Raw genomic sequence first — 8,950 nt, 5'->3', positions numbered from 1 at the left:
AAATTATCAGAGTTGCTTCTAGATTACGTATTTTTCCTAGAACCCAAGATTCCGTACTTCATCAAAGATTTCTGGATATTTTTTCAACTGTATATTGTGGCTGACCACTTCGCTTCATCTCTGCTGATCTTTCCGTAGTCTAAACCACCTCTTCTCTCATCAGGACTCCTGAAATAGCCACCACTCTTGCTCTTTTTATTTTATTTGAAGTTCCAGGATACATGTGAAGGATGTGCAGGTTTGTTACATAAGTAAATGTGTGCCATGTTGTTTGCTGCATCTATCAACCTATCACCTAGGTATTAAGCACTCTTGCTCTTCTAAGTTTTCTATCCATAGAGCAGCCAGAGTGATGAAGTTTTGAAAATGTTAATCACATAATATTATTTCTTCATTTAAAGCTACAATGACTTCCCATAACATGTAGAATAAAGTTCAAAATCTAAATCCCTTTATGATGTGTTTTTCTCTGCCTTCTTCATATCATCTCCTTCCACTCTCCTCTTTTCTGAGTGTGAACCACATTAACTTTTGTTGACTCTTCTCATACACAAAATTTATTGCTGCTTCAGATCTTTACATGGTTGCTTTTTCTCTAGATCATTTAGTACCTTGCTTCTTAATATTCTTCAAGTCATTCCTCAAATATCACTTCATCAGAGAGCTTCTCCATTATTATCTTATATAAAACAGCCAGTCACCACTACTTAGTGTCTCCCTATGCATTGTTCATTACTTTTCAAAACACTCTCACATCTTACATTTTATTGACATGTGTTTACTTTTTAAAAAATATCTCACTAGATATAAGCTCCATGAAGACAGTTACTTTGACTACCTTCAATATTGCTGTTATTTTGCTACTAAAACAGTCCCTGTATCCTGGTAGGTTCTCAAAAGTGAAAGAGAAGCCTAGGCAACATAGCAAAACCCCATCTCTGCTAAAAATACAACAGAATTAGCCAGGAGTGGTGGCATGCACCTGTAATCCCAGTTAGGAAGCTGAGGTGGAATTTCCTGAGCTCAGGAATTCATGGCTACAGTGAGTTGTGATTGCGTCATTGTACTTCAGCCTAGGTGATGGGAGTGAGACCCTTTCCATGGAAAGAAAAAAAAAAGGAGAGCATTAAACACAAATAAAAATTGTGTGCTTACTTTAGGTGTCTTAAGAAGTTTTAATTTATAAGTGTTTGATGGCAATGTGGAAAGTTAAGTGTCCTGAAGAAAAAAGTCAAACATGGAATGGAAAGATAAAGCTCTCATGACATCATGAGGCCATTTCCTAAATAGTCGTATCATAATACTTCTGATTCAAACATCAACAAATAGATGCAGTAGAAACTTGGAAATCTCAGCCATCAGCTTCTTCTTATTGCTATCTGAAACCATTTCCTATCTCTATCTTAGCTTAGAAAATGATTTTTTCATATCAAACTCTAAGACTTGTGATTCACATCTCAGATATTTAGGTTTGTTAGAATGGTGTTTCTTCTCTGCAACTATTTATAAGCAGTGATCAGATGGTACTCAGGAATTTTTATGGGGCAAGCTATGGTAAGGGCTAAGATTCTTTCATTTTAGTATCTATTAACACTTATTTTGGGCTTTGTAATTGTATGATGGGTTGCCATACTGAAGAGGGCATCTTGTTGCCTACTCTTCTAACTTTGTAACTCTAAGGTTCAAGTCCAAGTGTCTCATTGCATTTTTCCTTAATTTACTTTTTTGGCTTCATGGGACAAGGCCAGGCTCTGTTAGCACTAATATTCATTTAGGTGACATAACTGGGGTGTAAACTATTGGCTCTGATAACAGTGGATACTTCATATTGTTGCTCAATTCTTTATTTTCCCCTACTGATATAAAGGTTCATGGGGATCGTTTCACAATTTCTAAGATATTTCTCCCAAAAGCTCAGTGCTTTGGAAATCTTTATTCTCATCCAAAAATGGAAGTGATTTTATCTAAAAGTCTCTTGGAAGTAGTGTTGAAATTCTTATTTTTGGGTAGTAGAAGCAGTAGTTACGAGGGTAGTGTTGTCTTTTGTGGGTGGTGGCACCTGTTGCAGTTGTCTGTATTTAGGGTGCAGGAGTAGGGAGGGCAGGATCAGTTGGAGAATTTACAGGGAAAAATGGAGGTCCAGGTGGATAGGGTCTTGGTTGGGAAGGTGGCTGTGGATAACCTGGGCCATAAGGAGGAGGAAGAGAGTGTGATTGAATTCTCCCTGGACCATAGGGTGGAGGAGGGGATGGTGGGATTCTCCCTGGACCATAGGGTGGAGAAAGGGGTGGTGGAAATCTCCCTGGACCATAGGGTGGAGGATGGGGTGGTGGAACAAATCCTGTTCCAAAAGGAAAACATGGTGGAGGAGGAGGAGCCAGTGGTCCAGGTGGATATGGTCCCCTGGGGCCTCTTTGACTCTCACCAGGCTGTGGAAACAAAGAAGTAAATAATTTTAAATCAGATATTTCACAGTTAAATATAAGGGTGAATGGTTTCTATGGTAAGCAGAACTCTGAGATGGCCTCAAGATTTCTACTCCCTGCTGGCACATGCTGGCCTGACCTTATCAGGTGAGCCCTTTTAAAACAGGTTCTACAATGTGAGAAGGAATCAGAGAGATTTGAAGCTGCAGCAAATGCTTTCCTCTGGGCTTTGAATCAAGATGCCGTGTTGTGGCGAGGGCCATGTGGAAGTACATGGTAGACTGGCTATAGGAGCTGAGAGTGGCCCCTGGCTCATAGGCAGCAAAAAAAATAGGGGCTTCAGTCCAACAACCAAGGGACTGAATCCTGCCAACAACCATGCAAGCTTAAAAAAGGACACTGAGGTGCAGAAAAAAAAAATACAGCAATGGACACACCTTTTCAGCCTGTGAGACTCTGAGCAGAGAAGCCACCTAAGCCAAGCTCAGAGTTATGGCCAAAGAAACTGAGATAATAATGAGTTTTTAAAGGCTACTAATTAGTGGTAATTTGTTATTGAGCAATAGAAAATTGTTAAATGTATCTAAGTTATGATGTATGAACTTCTGTATCAAAGAAAAATGTTTCTCTTTTGCCCTCTGAATACCTAGGCTCTCAATGAAAGCTTGGATAGTATTGACTGGAAAAAATAGATAATGAGCAAAAATCTTATCCTTGGCCTGTAGTGAAGTCTGTCATTCCAAATTCTAAATGGAAATAAATGCCTTTGCAGCATGGGAAAGACACGTCTTTTTATGTCTAATTCAAGAGTTCAGGGTTGTTCTGGGCTTTGAACATTAATTAATTGTGAAACACATGTGAGCAACTATTTTGTGCAATGAGCTAATGAAGGAGCTGGTTCATTCATGTCATGAATGTCAACCTGGCAGTTTGCCAGGGGTACAAACATGTCTTCTATGAATCCACAGGCTGAGTAATTACAATACAGGGGGGGATAAATGTGATCTAAAGGGAAGTGAAATGAATGGAATGAGTGTCTGGGATTTCATGCCAGTGTTTGAGCTCTCCTTCTGGCACATAGAGATAGGGTGAGTATAGAATCCTTTTTGAGTCTCTTTTTCTTATCAGGAAAATGATGTTCATAAAAGTACCCATCTCCTGCGGTTGTTGTCACATCTATTGTGAAATATCACCTGTAAAGTGCCTAGGGTGGTGCTTATCTCAGGTCTGGTTTACATAGAGTACAATTTTTAGAAATGAAAATAGCTGAGGCTGGATATGGTGGCTCATGCCTGTAATCCCAGCACTTTGGGAGGCTGAGGTAGGTAGATAGCTTTAGGCCAGCAGTTCAAGACCAACCTGGACAACATAATAAGACCCCATCTCCATTAAAAATCTAAAAATAGCTGAAAAGTAGTGCAAGGAACAAATACATTAGGGATTTAAAGAGATCAGTTCTGGATAGGAAAATGATAAAGGATTGTCTCTGTGATAAGGAGTTATTGAAAAGAGGCTTAAAGAATACAAAATAAGGAGGGAGCATGCCAAATAGAAGGAAAATATGCAAATGCTCTGGGGTAAGAATGAAGTTCCACTCTACTGACGGCAAGAACTCCAGGTTGCTTGGAGCAGATGGTTTATATAGGGCACAAAACTACATTCACTTCTTGTGGTTCTCAGTCCCTTCACCTATTTGTCTGGCCATTACCCTTGCTAATCCTAAACTTTAGTATTACGGTAAACCATCTTTCTCCTGGATTCCTAGTTCCAGGTTCTTAACAATGCTAGAGGATGTCACAAGCACTGTACCATCAGAAAGTTAGCGTCCTTCAGTGCTGCCTGAAATCCTTTTTTGAGTATCTTACCTTAGATTATCTCTTCCCACTTCCCCAGAGGCCTGTAATTTTCCAAGTTGATGCCAATTTTATAAACATTCTCCACTTCATCCTGAGCTCTCATCTACCCCCACCAAACTGGCTTTTCTCCTGCTTCACCAAGATATTTCAGGCAATTAGAAACGAACTTCCCTGATTTACTGGCCACACAACCATGGAGTCATTGATAGCTAGACAGTTTCTTTTTCTTTATAATTGTTTTCTGAGGGACCTGGCTCTGTCAGTCTTCTCTTTTACTTTCTGCAAGTAATATCTGCCATTTAATTAGCTCATTTTCTTCAGAAAAACACTATCATTTATGTTCAACTCAATTTTTTTTCTCCCTATCCTATCAGCTCTTCATCCCACTCCCTGAATTCTAAATCTAACCACTTCTTATCATCTTTCTTGCTTTCATTCTCATCTGTCATTTACTTTTACCCAAATTACTGTAGGGCCCGTTGATTTGACCTCTTGATTCTAATCTTGCCGCTTTCACCTAACACGTACAGAGAGGTCGAAGACATCATTTGGGAAATAAATATAAATTGATATTTCCCTGTTTATAAAAGATTCAGTTTCAACCACCAATACCCTTGTTGTTGTGACCTCCTTTTCACCTCTTTCCTGCAAAGCAAAGCTCTATGAAAGAGTATTCTAAATTTGCCAACCCCACTTCTCACTTCCCATTTGCTCTTCAACCTGGCTTTTGCCCTTAACATGCCGGTAAAAGTTTTATTCATATCACCAATGAAACAAACAAAAAATTCCAAGGCACTTCTGTGGGACCAGCCTTGCATTTGTCTTCTCTAGCTAGTGATGGTTCAAGTTGTTATGCAGGGTGTTTGACCCAAGGGCTGCCAATCCAAGGACTAGTCAGGTTATGTGGAAGTTCAGGATTTGATTTTTTATTGTCAAGAAAACAAATCCTTAGTATGGAAAAATATTTCACACATTTTTATTGTTGAGACAATTAAAAAATTAGCTGAAAGTACCTTTTCCTAAAGATATACCGATGTTGATCTAAATATTATGTAATGAAAAATCTTCATAGTAAATATCTATTCTTTTCCTGTTCTCTTAACCCAATCGCAGTGATAAGCTCCCTTTCCACAACTGGCTAAAGTAAAATGATGAAAATGATGAAAATACTATATTAGGAAGAAACACTCCCCTCTCAAAGGGCTATAATTAATGTTAATCTCCTACATTATTCAATTTAGCAATAATCCAGCTAAGACATGCATAATTTGAATCTAAATTTATTTGTATTTTAGTGAGATTAAAAATAGTGAGACTTGCTTTGAGGATTAAAGAAGAGATAATGTATGTAATGCATTTGGAAAATTACCTATAACAGAGAAAACACTCAAAAGGTAACAGGCTGAATATGATGACTTACCCCATCTACAAATATGTATATGCAAAGGACATGCTACCCTTCACATTTCCAATGTTCAGTAATTATTAATCATCATTATCATATCAACTGGAAAAAGGCTCATTTCTATTTAAACTGCTTATATTATTGGAAAGCTCTGTTTTTCTAATTTATCTTGTAAAAAGTTACTATTTGTATAATAAAAGCCTGAATAAAATGTTTTTCTCTTGTATTTTGAGGATGTGAAAATGTTGAAAATCAGCTTTATGATGAAGTCATTAAGACATGACATTTAACGGATGTCAATATGTTTTATTGGCTTATCAAAAATTATGTCCACCCATAATGCATGCAGGAAGGTGGCCAAAGTCAGAATACTTCAGTCATCTCAGAATGTCCTGTTTTTATTCAAGTTTTTAAAAGTAGAAGAAAGAGGTATTATTTTATGTTTCATGTTTCAGAATGATATAATTTTATGTTGCCTGCTTTGTGGAAGTCATAGTCTTCTAAAAAATCAGCTTTCATATTTTCCCATTTGATATAATAGATTTTATGGTACTTTGGGAGAAGTTACTCTGGAATTAATCTCCTCTTTGTAACACTGGAATTAATTGACCCTTCTGTTGAAATTGAGTATCATTCTATTACTTTTAAAAATATGCATTAAAAAATTCTGAAACACTAGGTTAAGGACAATAAGGGTAGTTGTCCTTAACCTAGTTTTTAATATATGGTAGGTGTTACTATAAATGTTTATTATTTCCTCAAAATTTAGCATGCAAAGATTCTCCTAAATCCTCTGCAAAATGCATCTTCCCAGGTCCTATTATTCAGGCTTGGATGAGGACTTTAATACTATATTTTTAATAAGTGAGTTAGGTGACTCCATATGTTAGGAACAACTACTTTAAACTATCTCATTTTATAGAGTTTTACCTATTGTGTAATTGCTAGAGTATGGGGACCTACATTTATACTTATCTGTTTAATGCAGTCTGATATTACAGACTTGAGCTGTCCAGTATTGTAGCCATCAGACATATGGGGCTATTTAAATTAAATTAGATTTTAAATTTAAATTTAACCACTAGAACAGTGTTTCATCAACGGTTAATAGTTACTAATATATAAGAAAAGGTAACATCATTAATGTAAAAAGAAATCTGAAGTAATGGTTAATGAGAAAGTATAAAGATGTGTGATCGTGATTAATGATACTTACTGTGAAACACGCTGCAAGAGCCCAAAGGCCCAAGATCCAAGTCAGTGATTTCATCCTTTCAGTTGCCTCTGAAAGTAAGCACAATAGGTGATCAGTATGATTGTTTTTTATTAAAAAGTACTATTTAAAATGTCTCAACACATGGATATAATGTAGTACAGATATACTACTGTAGCCTTTTTAGGAAATTTGCCTAACATTATTTTGGATTCAGTATTACTGTGGGACAACATTAGTAGGCTTATAAAATTTGACTTCAAAATAGTGGAAGTAGTTTTTATTTTTGACTTGTAAACTGATACTGGAGATAATGCCAAAGAGTTGTTCATAAATGATTGAACAATAGAAGCTTTTGTAACTACAGTTTTTGCCTTTAGAGGTAACTACTTTGACATGTACAATTATTTACATTTGAATACTTTTGCATTTTTAAATAGCAGGTACATTGTTTTATAGATTTCTATAGGCTTGGGTTTGAAATATTAACATATTAACTAGATCATATGTTAGTGTAATTCCTTGGGATATCTCAAAAATAAGGAAAAGAAAGAAATCACTCTGTTTGATGTAGTGTAAGAAAAAAAGAGTCATATTATATATCTCCTAGTTTTAACAACATTCCACTAAATTAATTTAGTCTGTGATGTGTGGTCTCAAAGTGCTTCCAAAAATCCGTATATGGTAGATCAAAGACCAAGTCAGAGAATATGGAGGAGTCCAGATATTTTATTCACAGTTGGCTCACAATTTGTGAAATATTTCAAGTACCTGATAGCTTGAGTTCTGGGAAAGCAACTCCATGCACCATTGTACAAATGGCTTCCTGACAGTCAACTCTGCACATAGGTTGAGTGTGTTGTCTGAACAACGCAAGTTTTGAAAGAATCATATGGACAAAATTTCACTGGATATTCAATTGTATGTGGGTGTGGCTATTCCCTTAAGGATTACTTTTCCCAGGATCCGTTCTTATAAGAAGTTTGAAAAACAAAAGAAAAACTAATAATAAACATATACTGTGGAACAATTCCCTCTTTTAGAGTACATCTGAGAATAATCTATCATTATGAAGTTTCAAGAACTTTAAGGAACATCAAGGGGAAAAGTCAATTGTGTACTTGGGTGGACTAATTGTCCTCAATGCCCAACATGAATGCTTTACTCTGACATGTGAATAACATAATTTTTCAAGATTTGATATGTTTAACGACTTACAATTTTACATAAGGTGAAGGTGCTTATGTTTTTGGTGATAATGAATGTCCTATAAAAAGCTCATGAAAAGTCTGAGAAAAAATTTCTTCAGTTAATATTTCCAGGTACATACCTTTGCGTGAGGATCTGTCTTAGAGTTGATTAACCTGCTGGTCAAAATGACTCTTGCCAGTTGAAAGACAGAAAATAAAGGTGAAAAGAGACAAGAAACTTCAGTTCTTATATATTGCAAAAGATTTCTGTTGGCAGTAAAAGAAAGGCTACTTGGAAATAAAATAACTTCTGGGCTGATGCTCTTCAAACAAAGATAGGAAAGTTGTTCTTGCCAATTTGGCAGTCTTTTTCCGCATTTTTTGGGTCTCATTTCTGAAAAGCATTGACCTGTTCAATATTTGTTGTTTCCTGGGGAAACAGATTCAACAAATAATATCCTCTCACTTCAGGGAAACAATCTGGGGCCTGTGGCGCACCATTTCCTCTTTATTTTAAAGAAAAAGCACCAACTTTTTCTATCCCGAGTAATTTTAATGGGCCATCTTTTGTATTTTCTATTTTATTTAATGGGCCATCTTTTGTATTTTCTATAGGAAGTTCCCTTTTGTCAGTGAAGAACTGAGAACAACCGTGTTTTAAAAATCATGTGGTCCCTGTTGTTATTAACTTGAGAGTTTTAATTAAATGAAAATATGATGACATGCAAAGATTTGATTATGGGAAAATTATACAGATATTTTTACTTTGAAGTGGATGTCTAATGGAAATTTATAGCCTTGTCTTTTTGATAAATCTAGGCACTGAGGATAATTTTTCCTATGCTGGATGATCTTATACT

At 36.1% G+C, this 8,950-nt stretch overlaps 1 protein-coding gene across 1 annotated transcript; it reads right to left on the bottom strand.

Annotated features, from left to right (window-relative positions):
- Window positions 1–1,914: 1,914 nt before the first annotated feature.
- On the bottom strand, window positions 1,915–8,313 carry SMR3A (submaxillary gland androgen regulated protein 3A). Its single transcript, NM_012390.4, has 3 exons — window positions 8,231–8,313; window positions 6,904–6,971; window positions 1,915–2,429 (listed from the first exon to the last, which is right to left on the bottom strand). The coding sequence occupies exons 2-3, from the start codon at window positions 6,955–6,957 to the stop codon at window positions 2,079–2,081; spliced, it is 405 nt and encodes a 134-aa protein (NP_036522.3). The 5' UTR covers window positions 6,958–6,971; window positions 8,231–8,313; the 3' UTR covers window positions 1,915–2,078.
- Window positions 8,314–8,950: the final 637 nt, after the last annotated feature.

The sequence above is a fragment of the Homo sapiens genome, chromosome 4 (genome assembly GCF_000001405.40).
Source record: "Homo sapiens chromosome 4, GRCh38.p14 Primary Assembly".
Classification (NCBI taxonomy): domain Eukaryota; kingdom Metazoa; phylum Chordata; class Mammalia; order Primates; family Hominidae; genus Homo; species Homo sapiens.
The sequence above is the reverse complement of the archived record's forward strand: the minus strand, read 5'-3'. Positions and strand labels throughout refer to the sequence as shown.